Consider the following 22,740-nt stretch of genomic DNA (forward strand, 5'->3'; position numbering starts at 1 on the left):
CAAGTATTTTCATTTTTTAAAAATATACCTTTGCAGGCTGGGCGCGGTGGCTCATGCCTGTAATCCCAGCACTTTGGGAGGCCGAGGCGGGCGGATCACGAGGTCAGGAGATCGAGACCATCCTGGCTAACACGGTGAAACCCCGTCTCTACTAAAAAATACAAAAAATTAGCCGGGCGTTGTGGCGGGTGCCTGTAGTCCCAGCTACTTGGGAGGCTGAGGCAGGAGAATGGCGTGAACCCGGGAGGTGGAGGTTGCAGTGAGCCGAGATCACGCCACTGCACTCCAGCCAGGGTGACAGAGCGAGACTCCATCTCAAAAATAAATAAATAAACAAAATAAAAATATATATATACCTTTGCACATGCCATTTATTTGCCCATTGATTTAATAAACATTTAAAGAGCATCTTTGCACATATTTGAATGTATGTGCTATAGTTTTTTGGCATTAATAGATCTATAAGGTAGGGCAATATTCTGTATGATTAATCAAGTAAACCCCCTTATAACCATTAAATAATTTTAGAAAGCTAATGACTATTGAACCAGCAAGGATTAGGTTTTACTTTGGCCTGTCAATTTCTTCTTGTTCTTTTTACTTTTGGCCTCAGAGTCAAGCTAAGAAAAGAAAAATTGCTCAGATTTATCTTCTTTTATAAATTACTGGTGCTGAGCAGTGCAAATATCAGAATATCACAGTAACTAGCAAATCTTGCTTTTCCCAGTCTTCCTTTTTTCAAAAGTTGTCAGGGTAAAGAGTAATTTTTATTACTCTGGGAGCTAGGTTAAGTAATTTGATATGCTGAAACTAACTTGTTTCCTAATGTAAATTTTTAATATTTATCAAAAGTGGCTTTAATATTTTCTGATTTATGTTTTATCAGTTTATTTAATTGGTTGCCTTTGCTCCAAACACTTCAAACGTTGCCTATTGAAATTTCATATAAACAATATTTTTAACTTCTTAATCCTAAATAAAATAGCCAAATGATGATAGTAAGTAAGGAAGAAGAACTGAAAATATAGATAAACTAAAGACCCAAAGAATAAACGGGAAAGAAAATGTATACCCGTTGCTGAATCTTAACATTCAGTGATTCAGGAGATTCACTGCCAATTGTATAAGAGTTTCCTAAGAATTATTTGCATGTGCTCTTATTCTAAAGACACTTTTGACATTATAATTTTGCCAAAAACATGATGATCATGATGATGATCATGGAGTTGTTTTTCTTAACCTGTAGTGCACCCTACATTCAGGAAACCATAAAGTCAGCTTCTTTATCTGCTTTCAATGTAGTGAAAAGCAGTCCATATGTTAGTGTCACTGAAGAAAATACCCCTCATCTACCTTCTGTTTTTGTTTTCCCTGGGGAATTTTGATGATATTAGGCTGAGGAATTCATGCAATCAATGACTTTACAAGAAATTCACAGTTACAGTTCGTGAAACTTGCATGTGTCTATAAAGAAATATAAGATACTGTCTCAGGTTTGATGTGTTTTCCCATAAGCCTTTTAATTTTTACTGGTTACATATTACAAATGTGTTTTCTGATTCTTTTATCACCCAAAGTGCCTATTAAAGGTGCTTTGAAATCCCCTAATCCATTTTTGTTCAAAAGATGAAGTAATGAATGGATGATTGAATGAATAAATGTGAATTATATTTATATCAAAATTTACAAAGTTCTGTTTACCCTAGGAGGAGGAAATGATTTGTTGGAATATGAATATTTTTTTCAAAGTACTGGAAATTCAAATAGCTTATCTTAGACCATATATTTTAGCCTTTAACTTCAATATTCTATTCGTAGTAAAACAGATTGGAGCCTTCTACTGGCCTTACATAAAATGGGGATGATGATGTTAACAATGATGATGATAGTAATACCGATAATAAGCCAAAACAACAATAGAAAATGGCTTCATAATTCCTTTCTAATTTCCCAGAAATGTATTACTATGAGAAAAAAAATGTGTGGTCATATCTAGTAGAGTTTATCACTTCATTCCACTTTGCCTTAAACTAAATTGTATAAGGAATGGAGAAGTTTCATTGGATTTGGCAATTATAAAATTATTGAAAACTATTTCAAGGGAGCATTAGGAAATGGAGATAGGTCAAGAATTACTAATCTTTTTAAGCCAATGTCAGGAATTTGAAAAGAGAGTAAGAGAGAATAGTCAGCACTTTGACTACACTCTTTACCTTGTAATATTCCTCTAATAATCTATGTTGGGAAAGTAAAACATTTCTGATTAGTAAGAGTTAAATTACTAAACACACTGACAATCCACTTTTATAATCAATGTACATTTTAAATCACGTTTTGCTAATGTTGCTGGGCAACTTAAGGAGATATGGAAAACACATAACATTGATCCATTCAGTGCCTGAAATTGGCAAATAGATGTGGACCAGAAAAATGTTAAGTATTTACTACTGAGTCTGTAAGAGTGTAATTTAACTGTTTGTGGGCAGAGAAGAAAGTGAAGCTCCTAAGCACCTGATAGGGTCCTTCCTCTTACAGTAAAGGAAGCCTCCTTCCTCTTACATTCGAAGGTAATTTCTCCACAAGGAATAGGATTTTACCCGCTCTTGCCAAGTAAACATTGGCTCCTACATTTGTCCTCTCTCTTCTGCCTCACCACTTTTTCCCCTTCTCTCTGGACAAATATCCCCAGAATGATACAAGATCTCTATAAATCTCTCTCCTTAAAAGAAACAAATGAAACTCCCTTTTACCCACATACCCAACTACTGGCCCATTTCTTTTCTTCAGATTGGAAGGTTTTCTTACTATTTTTACTTCTATGACAATGGTTAAACAAAAGAAGTGGTCTTATTTTTAAATAATACTTTATGTGTTCTTTGTTTAAAATCTTGTTTAGGAGGACCTTTTATCTACAACTCTGTATTTACAGATAATAAAAAAAGTGTGTGTTTTTTTTTCTCCTCTTAATAGTATGGCAGCTGTGGTAATCCAGTCATACTGGCGTGGTTACCTCATGCGCAGACAGACTCATTTCTCCACAAGGCTACATACTGCTGCAACAGAAGGCCTGCCAAATTCTTCCATCAAGAATCAGACTATTTTAAAGAAAGGAAAAAGAGAAAATATTGTGAATATCCGAAAACAGAGGGAGAAGGCTGCTATTCTTATTCAGGTTAATTTCAATCTTTTGGTAACATAGTTACAAAAGATATATTAGTTGTCTTTCATGATTTATTCTGTATTAAAAATAACCTCCAAATCTCAGTGATTACAGTTATGTAGATTTATTTCTTATTCAAGTGACATGTTGGCTGCAGGTTAGCTGCAGGTTAGCTGCGGGTTGGCTGTGGCTCTGCTTGATATCTGGATTGAAGGAATAAGCCTTAAATACAAAATACCATTGCATGACTGAGGGTCAAGCTGGACCACACAACCATATTTAAAACTTCTCATCAAGGCAGGATGTGGTGGCTCAAGCCTGTAATACCAGCACTTTGGGAGGCAAAGGCAGGAGGATTGCTTGAAGCCAGGAGTTTGAGATCAGCCTGGCCCAGAAAGCGAGACTCCATATCTACAAAAAATACAAAAATTAGGTGGGTGTGGTGATGCACACCTGTAGTCCTAGCTACTTGGGAGGCTGAGGCAGGAGGATTGCTTGAGCTCAGAAGTGTGAGGTTGCAGTGAGCTATGATCATACCACTGCACACTAGCCTGGATATAGAGTGAGACCTTGTCTCAAAAAACAACAACAACAACTTCTCATCAAGTATGTCATTTGTCACATCTGCTAACATTTGATTAGCCAAAGCAGGTCTTGCTTGGCCTTGATAGCTATTTCTATATGTTTGAAAATCTACCAAAATAATTGTTAAAGTTTTTCAAATACTTTCATTTAAAAATTTAGAAAGCAAATAATTAATAGACTTGACTCAATCTCACCAAGACCAGGGTTTTCTTTTTAAGCAGTATAAAACATTACCATTTATTATTGTAAAATTTTTGTAACTCAGAAGTCCGAGCACAACATGGATGGATTTTCTGCTCAGTGTCTCACCAGTCTGATATCAAAGTGTTGACTGGGGCCTTAGATCTCGTCTGGGGCTTGGGTCCTCTTCCAATCCAACTTGTTGCTAGAAGAACTCATTTGCTCACAGCTGTAAGACTGAGGTTCCCAGTTTCATTCTTTCTGTTGTCCAGGAACTTCTCTCAACTCTTAGATACCACTGGCGGTACCTTACCAATTGGTCCCCACAGGCAGTTCACAAAGTATATTCCAAGACCAGATTTTAAAACGAAGTTCATGTTGATCACACTCATTTTTAAAAATTTATTTACTCATCAAATTTTTTTAGAAGGTACAACTTGTCAGGAATTGTTCTAGGCTCGGGAAATAAAACTTAAAATCAACAAGATTCCTACCTTCATGGAATTTATATCCTGGTGGAGGATGCAGATATAAACTAAATAAAATAAGATCTGTAGAAATTCGTGTTAAATGATAGTAATTAAACAAAATTTAGCATTTCCCTTTATTCATTCAGCAAATATTTCTTGCTACAAAAATCTTTGTAGCTTACATTCTGTTGGAATATGCAGTTCATAAATATGTTAGCTATGAGAAATATTGTGGGTGAAAATATAAAGCAGGAAAAGTGGGATGGGAGTATCAAAGAAAAGCTTATCAATTTAGATAGGATGGATGTGTAAGACCAGGAAATGTGACATTGGAGAGAGACTTAGCCATTCGATATCTGTGGGAAGAATATTCGAGGCAAAGGAACATCAGATTCTAAGGCCATGATTTAGTAGCCTACTCACAGTGTTTAGGAATTAGCAAGAGGCCAGTGTGACTAGAGAGTGATGAAAAGGAGCAAAGTAGGATTTAAAAGTCAAAGGTCTTATATGATATGGAAAGACACTGGTGGAATTTGAACAGTGGATTGACGTGGTCGAGTTTACTCTCTGTCACAATTATACTGTAAGAGGACAGAGGCAGAAAAAGCCAAATCAGTTAGCATCCTATTACAGTAAACCAGGCAAGAGATAACGTCAGCACGGACCCGAGTATCAGCAGCGGAGGTGGTAAGAATATCACATTCCAGAATATGTGTTGATTTTATCTTGAGAGTAAATACATGAGAGATAGGAATCAGGAAGGTCTCCAAGTTATTTAGGAAGAGCAACTGGAAAAATGGCCTTAAAATTCAGAAAAAAAGAAATTACCCTTCCTCTCAAGTTCTCAGCTCTTAATATTAAAGACATAGCTTTCAAGAGAAACACCTTTGCTGAGTTGCTAATCAAGGTATCCAGTATTTCCATTTACTTAATTTGTCTATACTGTACTCCTCCTGAGAACAGTGCATAGGCAAACCTGTTTTTGTTACCTGATAGAAGTGGGAGTGAGGAGACAGCAATTGATTCAAGGAAACTCTGAGAAAAAATAAAAAGAAACTTCACTTACTATCTCCAAATGTTATTTTGCTACCTAAGGAATGTAGACACCATGCATCCAAACTCCCGCCTGTCATCGGTGGATGAACAATACATTTTTCAGCATTGACAGTAAACAACTATTCAACTTTTGCTTCATTCCTCTCACTAAAGAGAAGGTTCATTACCTTATGAAGTAGTCTAGTTGTGACTGATACCTCTGTTGTGAGTTCTTTGGTTGAGCTTCTTTGTATCAGTAACAAAAGGAAGCATCATTCAGTCTTTCTTTGTAACTTAATGTAAGTCTCTTTTGTACATCCTATTACTTCACATCATTGAAGTGAACTCCATTTTCACATCTGTTGGGAACAATCATCTAGCTTCTTAAATGACTCATCTTAAAATATGAATTTTAGACTGCCTAAACATTCTGAGGGAGTACAGTGTGATATAGCAGAAACAACCGGGGCTTAAGAAGGATCAAAATGAAAGGTTTTGTGAAGGATGTGCCAGAGACTGCTCTCTGTTCACCAAAACCACATTCTTCTCTTCTTCCTGGCATAGAGCCAGACTAGATTTCCAAGCTTTCCTTGCAATTGAGCTCTCAGAGTTCTCGTCATTAGAATGTGAATGATAGGCCGGGCGCAGTGGCTCATGCCTGAGATCCCAACACTTTGAGAGGCCAAGGTGGGTGGATCACTTGAGGTCCAGAGTTCGAGACCAGTCTGGCCAACGTGGTGAAACCTTCATCTCTACTAAAAAAAAAAAAAAAAAATTAGCCAGGCATGGTGGCAGGTGCCTGTAAACTACTTGGGAGGCTGAGACATGAGAATCTCTTGAACCCAGAGGGGAAGGAGGTTGCAGTGAGCCGAGATCACACCACTGCACTCCAGCCTGGGCAACAGAGTGAGATTTTGTCTCAAAAAAAAAAAAAAAATTTCAATGGTAGATTTGTGCATATCACTTTCAGATCTACCCCATAAAATCTCCCACAGACACTCCTTCATTTCATTTTCCCTTTCTGATTGGCTGAAATGGAGACAGCACCCAAGTCACCTCATGTTAAAGTGCTGTCCCACTGGCTTGTTTACTCTCAGTGTTTGTTATGTGATCAAGAGATAAACTCTTGTTTTTGGATTATTATGCATTTTTACTCTGTTATAGCACTTACCCTACCCCACTTAAAGGATATGAGCTACACCTTAAGTAATAGTAGGACTCAATGTAGATAGGTAAGAGATAGGAATTCCAGGTATAAAGGACAGTGTAAGTAAAATAACATAGGATTTAATGTTACTTAACATAGGATTTCATGTCACTAGAATGGTAGTAAGCTTCAGCACAACAAGAATACCATAAGAACTAGAATCTTAAGAGAATGTAGGGGTAACATGGTGAGAGATGTGTGCAGTTTCAACAAGGAGCAAGTATATAGTATGCTACAGGGGGTAAGAGTTGATGATAGTTGGAGAACAAAAAGATGTTAGATATGTCCAGTAGAGAATTGTCAGGCCAGAGAATTGATTTGAATATATGAGAAAGAGAGATGAGTTAATCATAGATAGATTACTAGGATAAAAATGTGACTTAGTCAGAAATAAATAAGTTAGAAGAAGAATATGAATATTACTTACCCACATGTTTACATGACCATTATTTCTGATAAACTAAACAGAGATGGCTGGGTCTTGAATTTCTGACCCTAAGCAGATTCATGAGGGAGATATAGATATCTCTGTGTGACACACCAGAAAACACACATGCTATGTATTTTATAGTCTGGAGCTTTGCAGAAGCCCAGACCCTGATGATTTGAGCAGGATCCATTTTGAGCCACAGTGAATCAATCCTTTGGCTCATGTCACTTAGCGCTGGATGAAAGGTTGCCCTTGCCAGCTTCTTTTCACTAGGTCTGCACTCAATCTTGATATCATTATGTTGATATTTTAAAAAGGGAGGAAGGTAGGTAAAAAAAAAAGATATGATGACCTCAGGAAAAAAGATAATCAAGAGAAAGAGAGCATGTTTCCCTGATTCTTGGAACCTTTCGGGACAGGGTTGCAGAGGAAGGGATATGCAGGGTACCTCCCTAGCAGGAAGAAGCCACTTGGCCCATTTGCCATGTTAGGGAGAAGGCGTTCTGAAAGAAAGCAAGTAACCAAGAGAGCATAAATACCCAGATATGAAAATCTAAGGCTGGGCCTGGTGGAGCACTCCTGTAATCTCAGCACTTCTGGAGGCCAAGTTGGACAGATTGCTTGAGCTCAGGAGTTCAATACCAGCCTGGGCAACATGGCAAAACCCTGTCTCTATAAAAAATACAAAAATTAACTGGGTGGCATGTACCTGTAGTTTCAGCTACTCAGGAGGTTGTGGTAGGGGATCTCTTGAGCCCGGATGGTCAAGGCTACAGTGAGCCAGGATTGCACCACTGCATTCCAGCCTAGGTGAAAGAGTGAGACCCTGTCTCAAAAAAATAAAAAATAAATAAATAAAATAAAATAGAAATAAAAATAATTTTTTAAAATACCAAAATGAAAGAGGTAAAAGAAAAATAGTGTTATTTATCTCTGTGGTAGCTTGCATGCACTAGTCATCCAGACCATGTGACATGCCAATCATAAAGAGGGCAAAGAGCTGATGGTATGCTCCATAATGGGTAAGTTAAAAAGAGTAAAAAAGTTAGAGGTAAATATGATTAAAATTAATCAACTGTATTTTTTAACATTATACAATGTTAAATATCACATGATTTTCTTATTTGTTGAACTAAGTGAATAAAGTTGTCAGAAATAAAGCATCAAGGAAATTGGGGGAAATATATTTATTGAGTGCATATTAGGTGATAATCACATGCTTATCATTGTGTTTAAATTTTCTAGTTTAATCTACATGGCAATCCTATATGATTTTTTATATTTTTCCCTTTACAAATAATTTTGACCTTTCTTGAAAATATTGATAACAATCATAATTTGAGTTAGAATTTTGTAGGTTGGGTAAAAAGAAAGTTGTATCAGTAAAAAGTAGAAAAACATAGTTTAGGCAATAAATAGACTAGATAACATAGCCCCTCCTGGAGTCTCAAACCTACGCACACTTTCCTGGAAAAGAGATCTCAGTATGTGTAAATGGAATCTGAAACCTGACACATAAGCAATAGCAAAATAAATTGTAATTCTTCCGAGGGTGTGACAATATATTTCTTACTTCTCCTGTGGTGAGGTTGCCTTGGAGAAAGCTATGAAGGAAGCTGCTGAAATAGATGGTGAGGTTTGATTGAAACAGGTTTCTTCCAGGAAGATAAAGTGGCACTGGGGGTAGACGGAGTGGATATGTTTCAGGGTTTGAAAAGGATAATTGAATTTTCAAGCCAGACATGTTGGATGGGTAAAGGAGTAGAGTTATGAGGAACTAGCCTCTTTGACAGTGCTGTCTCTCCACTCAGAAAGTAGGGTAGGTAACTATACCTATTCCTAGAAGCCTGAGCTTCTCACAGCTTTTTGGGAAGAAGGAAGGTTAACATTGAATGACTCAAGTATTTATCACAGTCTGGGAAAAGAAAATCTCTACTATACTGTATCAGATAAATCAGACTATTAATAAGCATAATTAAGGACTGGGTTCACCACTTGTGAAAAGCTTGTAAATTCCAACACAGTAGTATCACTGAGGCACAGTATGCCCATCTGTATCAGCATCTTCCAACTCCTGCTCAGGACCACAGTCTCAAGACTATTGGCAGCAGTAGAAGCTATAGCACAGCTTCTGATTTGATTAGTGCAAGACCAGTTGGCCACAGAATGAGAGTGCAAGAATGCATAGAAGACAGCAGTTGTAGGCCACTGCAGAAATCTTGCTCTACTGAGCTTAAGCCAGAACAAGGGTATAAGGAATAACATTCCGGCTATTAATTTTGCCTGCTGATGGTATATTTAGGTTGGTGGCTCATAGGCTCCATTATGCACATATATTCAAATGTTAAATACACAGTGGGAGGTCCTTAGGATACCCTATTTAAAATAGCAATACCTCCCCAATGCTCCCCATCTCTTGTGACTGTTATTTTTGTCCATAGCATTTATTTAGCATACAGTTTAGTTCCCTTGTGTATTTTATTTTCAGTCTCAGTCCCCTTTAAAATGGGAAGTCCATGCTTAGAGATTTTTTTGTCTGTTTTAGTCACTGCTATGTCATGTGTGCCTTGTATATAATAGACATTCAGTAAATTTTGAAAACCATGCTACTTATTTACCCTCCTTGATTTGTATGGGGTGGGCTCCATGGAAGAATACTGTTCCTTTGCATTTCCATCAAGAATCGTGGTTATATCCTTAATCATTGGAAATTATGAATGACAACCAGCAAAAGAAGCTTGTAAGATCACGTGAAGCTTGATTTCTCACTTTATGTAATTTTATTGATTGTAAGAAAAAAGATAAGTGCACTATCTGTGACTTTCTAAACATTTAGTTACAAAACATTTCAAAAGTACAGAGAAGATCCAAGACCCCATATACCTACCTTCAACATGAGTTGAACTACTGGTCAATATTGACTCTTTTAAAACCCATTCACATCTACCTCCTCATCACTAGATTATTTGAAATAAATTATTCCTTTCATAAATATTTTAGCATGAACTTCTATAATTCAAGCAATTATATTGCTTTGAATATAATTTCAGTACATTACCAACCTTAAAAATAACAATTATTTTTCACTATCACCAAATATCATATCAGTATTACAAATTCCTGTAGCATTTAATACGTCTTTGCAGATTTTTCTTAATCAAAATAAAAGTCATCACTCAAACTTTTATATGTTAAGTCTTTTATTATACAGCAACTCCCTTCTTTTTCTTGCAATTTATTTATTGAAGTAACCAGGTCATTTGTCCTATAGGGTTTTCCAATTTCTGAATTTTGCCAAATGCATCCTCATGACATCATTTAACATGTTTATCATCTCCTGGTTTTCTGTAAATTGATACTAAGATCTACTGTTTGTTCTGATTCAGGTTTTTTTTTTAGCAAGAATATTTCATAGGTGGTGGTTGTATTACAAAAATGAGATACATAGTATCTGGTTGCCTCTCTTTAAGGAATATTACTGGCCATTGGTAAACATTGCCTAGATCGATTATTGTATTAATGGTTTGCACAATGGTGATACTTTCTATCTACTATTCTTTATTAACTAAAGTATGTAAAAATACAAAAAAAATACTTTATTTAACTAGTTATCCTAAGGTACAGTTCAAATTAGAAAGGCAAGTTAAATGCTTGATATTAATAATTTTCCTTAATTTACCAATTTTTAGATTAATGAGGTCTCCTAGCATTCTCCAAAGGTCACCAAAATGGGTACTATGATAATAAACACAGATTTTAAATATATGTGTTTGATTTCATTGCAGTTAGTAGTCTCATCAAGTTCAATTTTTGCCACAATTTAGTAGTCTTTAAAATTGTCCTTGCTTTCTAATGTGACACAATGTTCCAGGTTCATTTGACATACATTTTGCCCCAGGCCTAGAATCAGTCATTTGTCTAAAGATCCTTGGTTTCTTTAATGGAAATGACATATAGAGCACCCCATCTGGATTTTAGAAATACTTGTTTCTACTGGTTTGGTCATTATTTATATAATGTACATTCAATGTACTTAGTTTGCAGATAGATATTTTTAGGAAAAAAAATATACCATGGGTACATATTGATGTTTTGAAATTATAGTTAGGACTATAGGATTTTTACTTATTTAATTGTATATTTGCATCTCTTTTCTTCTATAGAAAATCTTGTTTTTTACTGACATTATCATAATTGCTTTCTTTACTCCTCTCCCTCACTCCTCCAACCTGCGTGTACTTGTGTATGTGTATGTGGGTGTGCACACACATACGTATACAGTGGAAATAAAGACCACACAAATGAGAAAAAAATGGGCTACTCAGAGTATATGCTAATGAAGGAGTCAGCCATCATCACTTGCCTTTGGCATAGACCCCAAAACGTGGAAGGGAGTGGGAAAGTTTTTAGTGGAAAAAGGGAACGCTTCAGGTATGCTCTATTGGAGGTTGTTGGCATGGGGAAAGTGGGTAGGGAGAGACTAGAAGTAGAACATATTATGTGATTGGTTTGGGAAGCATATTTGGCTTTCTCTGGTTGTTCCTGAGTTAGAAGCAGAGTTAAAAACAAGGAAGCTGGGTCATTGATCAAGTTTTGACCATTCTTGGCTAATTGCTGCAGAGGTTGTCACTTAGCATTCTGGGTTATTTGCTTCAGAGATTATGGTTTGGCTTCCTAGGCTGGCTGTTAACAAAGGTTGTGGGTGACTGCTATTGTCATAGAGGGTTTCACCATTTTGTATATTTCACTTTGCTCTCTCTCTCTTTCTGTATATATATATATTTCAGAATGAAAATACCAATCTCATTACTAACAATATGATTACTGAAAACCATTTTAAAATCTCTTTTGTGGCCAAATTTGTCTTTTGAGTATATTTCACCTGGGGGTAGCCAAATAAATCTATTTTAAGTCACTTTAAATAACTTGTATGGTTATTCCACAGCATGAAACATTTTTTATATTTTAGGCATTTCTTTCTGTTTCATATTTACTTAATTTGTTTCACAGTTCTCTTAAGCATGTGCATAGTTTGAAAGTCAAATCCAAGCAAGATGTATTTAGAGAAGTCTGGCTTCTATTGCTATACATTCTACCCTGTTTTATGCCTTTATAGGTAACCATTTTTAAAATTAATTTTATAATTCGAGCTTTTTAAAATTTATATATATACATATATACTTCAAAATATGTGTTAATGTAATGTATATATTTATACACAGTTTTTCATAGCTAAACAGTAACATAAAAAACACTTATTTCTCCCTTGGTTTTTACACAGTATATTCTGAAGCTCATTCCACATGAGCATAAATATATTCTTTATATTTATAAATATAAAGATATCCATTTTTTACAAGCTACATTGTACTTGGAGTTATAGTTAGGAAAGCTCATCCTACTCCAGGATTACTGAGGAATCTGAATATTTTAAATTTTGTTATTTTATGCTTAATTTATTTAAAAATGAAATTAATTCATCATTATAGGCCATAATACTCCCTGTATAATATGGCCATTTATATATGTTGATGTTTTCTTAATTGTGCTTTATTTTATACATAATCATTTGAACATTAGCAAAATGGGTTTTGCTTTGTATCTCTTTCTTCTTAGTTTAGAATGGGTCCTGGAGGAATTGTAACATAATTGATTGGTTGACCTACATGTGCAGTTGAGGGAGTTTTAAAGATTCTTTTTTGCTTACTACAAGGAAAGTCTCCTGAGATTCAGAACTTTAGACACATGTCGTCGTTTAATTTATCTTTCAGTTTTAAGTGTCACATAAAGTTCAGAAAACAGATTATTGTGTCATTAAACTTAGGTCTAAGATGTTTTATCTTCCTAATGGGATAACACAGATAATCTGGTTTAGGGTTTGATCTATAACTTTGTATAACATACTTTACATTTTTGTTTAGGCAGTTTGGAAGGGCTTTATTTTGCGAAAGAAACTGACAACAGCTCTAGAGGCTATTAAGAATGAAGAATCCGATGAAGAATACAGAGAAATAGATTTAGAGGATTTTATATTTGATGAAGTAAGTACGAACTATAGTATATAAATATTGGTCTTAAAATACATTAAGTGTACTATTTTGAAGATAAACCAGTTTCTAAGGTGTTTATCCTATTAATATTGTTACAGACTTTTTTCCTAACATTGAGAAACTTTTCCTAACATCATCTTCTTTTATCCTACAAGCTTGTATAGTGTGCAAAGGTGGCAGCAAAATACTTACAAGAGCGTCTTTGTGCCCTTCAACCATGTTCTCCAGTTATCAAAATTAGGGAATTAACATTGATGTAATACTATGATCTAATCAACCTTATCAAATTTGTGAGTAGTCTTACTAATGCCCTATATTTAGTCTGAGATCTAATCCAGAATCATAAGTTGCATTTAGTTGTCATTTTTCCTTAGTCTCCTTTAAACTAGAATAGTTCCTCATCTTTTCTCTGTATTTTACAAATTTAATACTTTTAAAGACTACTGAAAAATTATTTTGTAGAATATCTCTGAATTTGTGTTTGTTACATAGTCTCTTCTCATTGTATTCAGGTTATGTATTTTTGGTGAGAATACAACAGAGGTGATATTGTGTTCTTCTCAATGTATCACTGCAGGAAGGTGATGAAGTTTCTCAGGACATAAAATTATCCTAAACTGCATTTGGCTTAGCTACACAGTTATAAATCCCCTGCCTTAAAACTTTTTTGTAAGTGGATGGGATATAAATTAATATAACCGTAAAGGTCATATGATATAAAACAGAAATTTTTAAATGCTGTAATTCCATAATTTAAAAACACTTAAAATCTTTTATGCTAGAAAAAAAGCCTATGTTAAACAAACATGAAACATACAAATTTCTCTTTATTTTCTTTCATCTACCTATATGACCATCATTTTTCCAAAGTTCTCCTTATCTTTTTAAAACCTGACCATGAAGTTTATACTCTGATCATTGTAATCATGGTAGTCTTACGTAGCAGATGTGTGAATGGAGTTCTAGTTAATTTTTTGCAGCACTTAGCCAAGGCTCATGAGGAGTGAACAAGGATATGATGGTGAGAGAGAAACCTATGAAGATTCAGTGACTCATCACAGCAATGGAATTTCTAGGACTGTAATAAACTGGGACATGTTGGCATTACTTCCAAAGTAAGGGGTGGATTGTTGCTTCATGTAGTTTCCACCACTAAGAAGAATGAGTTGGTAAACCTCTTTAGGTTCTAGAGGCTGCATAGATCATTCTTGGGAATACTGCTTCAGGTTTAAAAAGGGCCCAGAATAGGAAAGATCTTTTCAGCACACCCATGCTATGTAACAAAAAGGGCATCAACTGTAGACATTCTGTTACTAAATCATTCAAAGATATGTGTAAGAATACATTTATTGTATCTTAATGAGCTTCAAGGTTCTCTTACCAGATGTCATCTCACAATAACTGGTCTAATTTATTTCTGGTAACTTTAATGTGTTGATAGGAAAATGAAATGGAAGTAATATCACTACGTGCCCTAACTGCAAGAGGTAAATATAGTCTTATGGTTTCATGTGTACATATGTGACACGTCAGTGAGAATTTTGATATTCAATTGTATGGTATTTTTCAGAATTCAGCTAGGAGACTTGAACTCCATTTTATAAACTTTTCAATTTTTTCTATCAAACGTAATTTACTGAAAGTCTCCAAATTACACTGCAATAATGAATTATGAATTTGTGAAAATATTATCAATAAGACTATGAAGATGAAGGTGTTGTAGAGACAGAACACTATTGCTCACGTCTGAATTATTTTCATAGGCATAATCATACCTTAATCAAAAGGAAGCCCTTAAAAATTCAACATTAATCTATTAGGTTAGGAAACTGCTTTTTTGGAACATGCTGCTGATTAGCACGTTTCTAGAAATGTCAGCATTAATATTTTTAGTTGATATTTGGGTAGTATAATTGTAAAATCTACCATTATTTTGCACTCTCTCAAATCTTAAATGCTCAAATAAATTGAACTGTTTCTTTCTTCACATTCTTGGTAAGGTCAGCTATTTATTCTCAGGAAAAAAAACTGTGTTTCTACTTCTATGTAATGAAAAAAACTAGGTATCATGAAAACAATGTAAATGCTTTTAAAATACACTTATATGCAAAATCTTTCTGGCTACTTTCTATTCTAAATTTATCTCCAATGTTTTTCAAAACTGAATTTAATTTACCTTGTTTTTGAAAATATTGAGTAAATCGAAGCCTGCTTTCCTCACTTCAGTTTTCCACAACAAACCTCAATGTGGAAAATACTATTTCATAATGACTTGTATTAATAAGAAGTCAGTTTCTCTTCTTTCTGATGTGTTAGTACTGACTATAATAAAATATTCAAAGCGTTTTGGAATATCTGAAATAGCAAGAAACCATGGAGATTTTGTTCGTAGTGGTCTTGTACATTTTTAGTTGATTTGTTCCTAAGTATATATAGAAATACAATTTATTTTTGTATATTGACCTCATCTTCAACCACTTTGCTGAAATCACCCATTAATTTTAATAGATTATCTGTCAAATATTTTGAATATACTGTATACACAATCATATCACCTGAGAATGACAGTTTTCTCTTTTTTTCCAGTTCTTATACCTGTTATTTATTTTTCTTGCCTTATTATCCTGATTACTGCTTCCATTATAATGTTAAATAGTGATGATATTAGCAAGCGTCTTTTTCTAGTTCTTTGTCTCAGGGTGAAAGCTTTCAATATTTCACCACTAAGTAAGATGTTTCCTATAGGTTTCTTAGAGAAACTCTGTATGGTTTAAGGAAGTTAACTTCCTTAGAATCTTAGAGATTAAGATGCTGCTGCTGCTGCTACTGATAATGATGATGATGGTGACTTTATATGCAATTTGGATTTTATCAAATACTTCTTAATACATCTAACATTGACTTTCAAACATTAAACCTTGTATTCTTAGAATAAACTAACTTAGCTATAATGCATCATCTTTTTCTACCTATTACTAGCTTATATTTGCTATTATTTTATTTAGCATTTTCTCATTTTATTCAAAAAGAAATTCACTATGTAAATTCTATTTCTTATACAGCTCCCTCTTCAGGTTTTAGTATCGTATTATGTTGGCCTTATACATTTTGTTGGGAAGTGTTTCCTCTGCTTCTGTTTTCAAGGGGAGTTTGATATAAGATTGATGTTCTTTGTTGTTCAAAATTTTGTCTCAGCATATACTATATTTTTTGAAATGTTTCATGTGAACATAAAAGGAGTATGTATTCTGTAGGTAAGTATATTGTTATTAAAAATCTCATTTACTTTAAGTTTATGGTTTTTTTTCTTTAATCTTCTGTATCCTAAGTGATTTGCAGGAGGGGCATTCTATGAGGTATTGAGAGAGGAGTGCTAAAATCTCTTACTCTGCTGGTGGATTTCTCTAAATTGGCTTTTATTTCTGTCACATTTGGCCTCATACTTCGGGGCTGTGTTTTTGGGGCATACACATTTTAAGGCTAGTTGAATTATTGTATCGCTGAACCTCTTATAATAATATTTTCCTCTTGAACAATAGTTTCTCTCTTTAACTAATTGCTTAAGGGCCATTTCCTTTGATATTTTTATACCTACAGCAGCTTTTTTTTTTTTTTTGGCTACTGTTTTCATAACGTATATCTTTCTAACCATTCTCATTCAACTTTACTGTGATTTTATATTTAAAATGTATCTTATAACTGCATATAGTTGGGTTCTGCTTATTTTTATATTTTATTCTGGCATTATTTTTATTAGAGTATTTAGACTGTTTTAATTGATTTTAATTTAGAATATAATTTGGTTTATACAATTTTCATTTGTTTTCTATTTGTTCTATGTTGATTTTTTCCTTTTTATTACCCTCTTTTGCATTTATCAAGTATTTTTGTTTTTCTATTTTTCCCTTTATTCACTAGTTAATTGAGTTTTATTTTTTCGTGTGCTTCATTCTTTCCTGCCATTAACATGCTTCCATCTAGGATCATTTTCTTTTGCCTGAAAGACACTCTCTAGTAGGAGTCAGTTTTTGATTGCTTGAAAATTTATTTCTTTTTTCAATATTTTGGAATATTTATCTAAATATTTATCTTCTCTAAGAATAGAATTCTAGTTAGGCTTTCAATTTTTAAATATGCCATTTTGTTAGCATTTCTGGCTTCCATAGTTCCTGTTGAAAAGTCAGTATTAAGTCTTAACTTTTCTTCTCTGAAGATATTGGCTTCCTATCCCATCCCCCAGGTAACTTTTAAGGTTGATTTTCTATTTTTGTTTTTCAAACTGGCTATGATTTTCTTTATTGCCCTGCTTGGAGTTGGTGAGATCATACAGCTTCTTGAATCTGTGGTAAATATCTTTCATTAGTTTTGGAAATCTCTTGTCCAAATTTATTTCAAATATTTGTTCTTTGATGTTTTGAAGTATATATACATTGTGAAATATGTAAACCTAGCTAATTAGCATATGCATTAGTTAACACATTTTTATAGTGAGAATACTTTCATTCGCTCTCAACATTTTTCAAGAGCACAATCTGTTGTTAGCTATAGCCATCATGTTGCATAACAGATCTTTTGAACTTATTCCTCCTCTCTAAGTGAAATTTTGTATGCTGTGACCAAGATCTCCTGCAACCGCCACCACCACCCCCACTGACCACCTTAAACCCTAGTAATCACCATTATACTCTCTACTTCTGTGATATTAAGTTTTTTGGATTCCCTGTCTGAGTGAAACCGTGAGGTATTCTCTTTCTGTGCCTGGCTTATCTCACTTAACATAATATCCTCTTCGTTCATTCACGTTGTTGCAAATGACCAAGTTCCCATCTTTTTTATGGATGGATAATTTTCCATTGTGTATTTTCTTTGTTCATGTATCCATTGATGGACACAGTTTCATTCCATATTTTGGTTATTGTGAATAATGCTAGAGTGAAGACAACGATACAGATATCTCTTCAACATACTGATTTTATTGCCTTTTGGTATACCTAGTAGTGGAATTGCTGGGTCATATGACAGTTCTATTTTTAATTTTTTTGAAGAGCCTTCATAGTGCTTTTCATAATGGCTTATACTAATTTACTTTTCCACTAACAGTGTGTGAGGGTTCCCTTTTGTCCACATCCTTACCAGCACATGTTATCTTTTATCTTTTTGATATAGCTATTTTAACATGTGTGAGGTGATATCTCATTGTGGTTTTAATCTGCATTTCCCTGATGGCTAAAGCTGTTAAGCATTTTTTCATATACCTATTAGCCACTTGTATGTCTTCTTTTAAGAAATGTCTGTTCAGGTCCTTTGCTCATTTCCAGTTGATTGATTTGTTGTTTGTTATTGAGTTGTTTGAGTTCCTTATATATTTTGGATATTAACCTCTTATCAGATATATGATTTGTAAATATGTTCTCCCATTATGTAGGTTGTCTCTTCATTTTCTTCGTTGTTTACTTTGCTGCACTGGAGCTTTTTAATTTGATGTAACTCCATTTGTCTATTTTTTGCTTTTGTTATCTATCTTTGCTTTGCTTTTAGGTTCATATTTTTAAAATCATTGCTCAGACAAATGTCATGGAGTGTTCGTGGTTTAATTTGGATGTTTCCTACTGACCTACTTTGTGTTCATTAATCATGCTCCCTACTTTAACTCATGATGTTTTTAGCCTATTATATTCTTATTTTGTTATTCTATTTTTAGTTATAAAATTCCTAATTGATTCTTTTTTATAAATTCCATTTATATGTTGAAATTTTCTATCATGTCCACTATTTTGTTGAACATAATAAGTATGGTATTTTCAAACCTTTGTAATTTAATGCAATACCTGGATCACTTGCAGATATCTTTCTATCAGGTGTTTATGTTTTGTTTTTTAGTCAGCTTAAAGAAGCAAGAGGTGTGTCCCTGTATTGAGCCAGAACTGAAATCTTTTTAAAATTTTTAAATTTTAGTTTCAGGGGTACATGTGCAGCTTTGCTATATAGGTAAATTACGTGTCGTGGGGTTTGAAGTACAGATTATCACATCATCCAGGTAGTAAGCATGGTACCTGACAACTAGTTTATTGATCCTCACCTCCTCCTGTCCTCCGCCCTCAAGTAGGCCCCAGTGTCTGTTGTTCCCTTCTTCGTGTCCATGTGTACTCATTGTTTAGCTCCAACTTATAAGTGAGAACATGCAGTATTTGGTTTTCTGAACCTGCATTAGTTCACTTAGGATAATGGTCTCCAAATCCAGAATTGAAATATTTATAAATGAGTATTTCAGTACTAAACAATCATTTTAAATCTTCTAGGCATTGTTCTTACCACAGTGAAGAAAAGAGATAAGATCCCTGACTTCATAGTATTTACATTTTATTTGAGGTAACAGACAATAAATACATATATAAATATATAGTAGAAAATAAGATATTGAAAATTACTGTAAAAATTAAGAAAGTTTAAGATATAGAGCATAGTGTTTAATTGGTTGATCAAGAAAGGCCTGTGTAAGGTATAACACTTTACTAGAGATGTGAAAATAAAGTGAGGGAATAAGTTTCATATAAACAAAACAGTATACTATTTTGGGCTAAGTGTCAGGCAAGTATGTAAGGCTTGAAATAGGAAATCAGCGTAATAAAGGAAGAGAAAGTTTACAATAGGTAGACTGATTAGTAAAGGAGAAAAAATAGAGAAGAGAAGAAATACAAAAGTAGCCAGGGATCAGTCCACATTAGGCCTAGGATATGATGTCAAGCACTTTGGATTTTATTTCAAGTGTGATAGAATGTTATTATTGGGTTTCAAGTAAGGGAGTTAAATATTGTTCATATTTTAAGTGGATAATTTTGTTTGCAATGCGGAGATTACTTCATGTGACCTATCTTTACCCCTTTTCCATTGCCATCACTTTATTTTAAAATCATCTTAAAACTTCAGATGATGTAATTGAATTGTTTTGTTTGTTTGTTTTTGTTTTTTGTTTTTTTGTTTTCTTTTTTCTTGCTTAAATTTTTCTGTATACAAAACTTACCTGACGAGGATTTCCCTTTTTTCACTGATTTAGTTGAAAAAAATAGTTGCCTTTAGGATTAAAACTTCTGGATTTTTAAGACATATCCTTATGTAATTATATAAAATCTTCTCAAACTTATTTTTTCCTTTCCTGCCAACAATGCTTACAATATGGCAGACACCATGCTTAGTGCCAGGATAGGTAAATAGACAGAAAAAACATAGCTCTAAGTTTAGGGAATATCAGAAATATATTAGAATGTTTTCAGTTAATTATAATTTTTATAAGAGGAGTAAATATAAAATTATCATGATAAATTAGCCAGGATCCAAAAGCCTAGATCAACTGTCCATGAAATATTTCCTTAGATTGATTTGTTGCCTCTCTGAAATGTGATTTCATTTAACAAGTGATTAACCACGAACACTTACAACCAAGAGTCATTTTATTTTAGTTTTGTTAAGTATAGTTTACCCTAATTTATTAAGTGCCAAGAACTATGAGGGATCTGAGATTTTATCCTACATGAACTCTAACAAGTTAGGATGCTGATAGAAGGAATGAAACTTCAAGAGACAAATACAGTTATTACCTGTAACAGCAGGCAGCAAGAGCTTCATGTACCAATTCTCCTTTTCCCCCAAGTTCCATAGGAGGAAATCTGAAGAATGTCTTCCTAGTAGTCTTGAGCCTAGGATATCCCATGTCTTCTAAACGGCTGTTAGCAACCCTGCCCATCCTGTGCTCCACAGAAAGTTGTTATCTTTATTACACCAGACAGCAAACAAATTTCTGCCCTCTACTCCAAAGGGAAACACAGTCTCTGCCTTCCCATTCTGTTAGTTTTATGAACATCTTTGGAAAGATAGTCTGTAACAAAATCTGTCGTAAGTCATGCAGAATTGTTAGAGATCCATGGAGAATTGTATCCCAAAAATATCCATCCCTTGTTTTTACATGAGAAATTTTCTAATAAGTATACTATTCCAGTGGCCACCCTGAATAATCTGACAGGGGCTGGGACAAAAATCAATTAGATTTGCCTCATGGTTCATGCAATTAAGGTTACTATCAATAGTCCAGGTGTTTTCTCCTTAATTTTTAAATTGATCTTCCCAATAGGCTTGAGACTTTAATCCAACTATAGCTGGACTCCTTCTTTTCCCTCAGGAAGGAATTACAGGACAATTCTGCCATCCAGAATAACCCTGGTCAGCGAGTTGAAGCTGAACTGAATGCTTTCTAGGGCTATAGTGCTGTTGACTTAACACTTAAAAGTATGTTATGACCACCACACCTTCTAGGTGGTAATTGTCCACCCCATGGGATGACTGAGGATGGGGATGGGGAAAATATCCACATCTGTTTCACAAGGGAAGTACAACATCTGGGGCCATGCCCTGCTGTCTTGATGGATTTCTTAGTAAACTTAAGATAAATTACTATGAAATTCTGTTCAGAGCCCCTTGGAAGGGGATGGCAGGTCCATTAGTAAGTTAAATTTAAGGTGCTTGCAGCAGTTTGGGACAGTCCTGCAGAAGTTTTGTTTTTGTTTTTGAAGGAGGCTATAGGGGCAGTTCAAAAGATAAAAATCTCCCTCTTTCATGCTTCCCAGGATTTAAGGTATTCCTTTCAAAGATTCTGGTTTTTTGTTCTCCACCTACTCCCTCAAAATTAGGGTGTTACATTTCAATAGTTATAACTTCACCATTTTTCTAATCATTCTGTATTAACACTTAGACCTTTCATCTTGAAAGTTCAGGAACAAGGAACAAGTGCACTTTTATAAACCATAACTAAGATTAGTTTGAATACTCTTACTCTTCTTTTGGCCAGGCTGTACCTTGTTTAATCATTCTGGCCTATACTCGCTGTTAGAGAAAAGAGATACTCATCATACCCAGGAATAGTCAGGATAGAATCCTGAGTTGTCCAAATAGATCTATATTACCTTCCATGCATTTTTCCTAATCATTGCCTAGGAAGTGACTGCAAGAATATGATATTTTTTGGGAGAGAGCCATGCTCACTGATAAAATTGCTTTATATAGATGTGTCGATAGAAGGAGGTGATAGAGGTAGGCGCAGACTATCAGTTCATTGTTGATTAGCTTGTGTCACAACTGTCACAATCAAATGGTACAGAAAACTGAAAACTTAGGCAACTAATTTCAAAGGCCACATTTGTATGGCCAAAGCCAGCTGATGGATAACCTAAAAGATATTAACAGTGGCAAAGATTTGAAGGTGTAGTGTAGTCAATTTTCCAACAGGAAGGGGCAAAAATCCACGAGATGAGAGACATCCTTCACTATAAGACAAATGAGAAAATTTTTCAGGAATCACAAGTCTGATATAAAAAGTAGGTCTACCTTAGATATAAAGTTAGACCCAATCAGTTACTTGATTCCAGTCATTCTTATTAGGGAATGGGCCCTTACCATAGGCATCTGTATGAATAACACAGACAGGGCTATAGGCAGCTGTGATTTGTTTTCCCTGTTTGAGGGCCCAAGTCATGGTGTCTTTGGCTTTTCATGTGGCAGACCCAACTGTTAAGCCATTGGCAACAGTCCAAGAATCAGCTTGCTTTCAGCTTAGCCAAACCATCACTGAACCA

The 22,740-nt window shown here is 34.5% G+C and overlaps 1 protein-coding gene across 18 annotated transcripts in view; it reads left to right on the plus strand.

The window, feature by feature from the left end:
• The window catches only part of LRRIQ1 (leucine rich repeats and IQ motif containing 1), a 236,455-nt gene that overhangs the window by 88,511 nt on the left and 125,204 nt on the right, over positions 1-22,740 (plus strand). For 16 of the 18 annotated variants that reach the window (XM_011538819.4, XM_024449222.2, XM_011538817.3 and 13 more), the window contains 2 exons: positions 2,971-3,172; positions 12,989-13,108. In XM_011538819.4, coding sequence (XP_011537121.1) covers positions 2,971-3,172; positions 12,989-13,108 — 322 coding nt within the window. Of the gene's footprint in view, positions 1-2,970; positions 3,173-12,988; positions 13,109-13,272; positions 13,408-19,416; positions 19,453-22,740 lie in introns of those variants that run through there. The other 2 variants (XR_944764.3, XM_011538824.3) reach the window with 2 other exon arrangements.

The sequence above is a fragment of the Homo sapiens genome, chromosome 12 (assembly GCF_000001405.40).
Source record: "Homo sapiens chromosome 12, GRCh38.p14 Primary Assembly".
Lineage (NCBI taxonomy): Eukaryota > Metazoa > Chordata > Mammalia > Primates > Hominidae > Homo > Homo sapiens.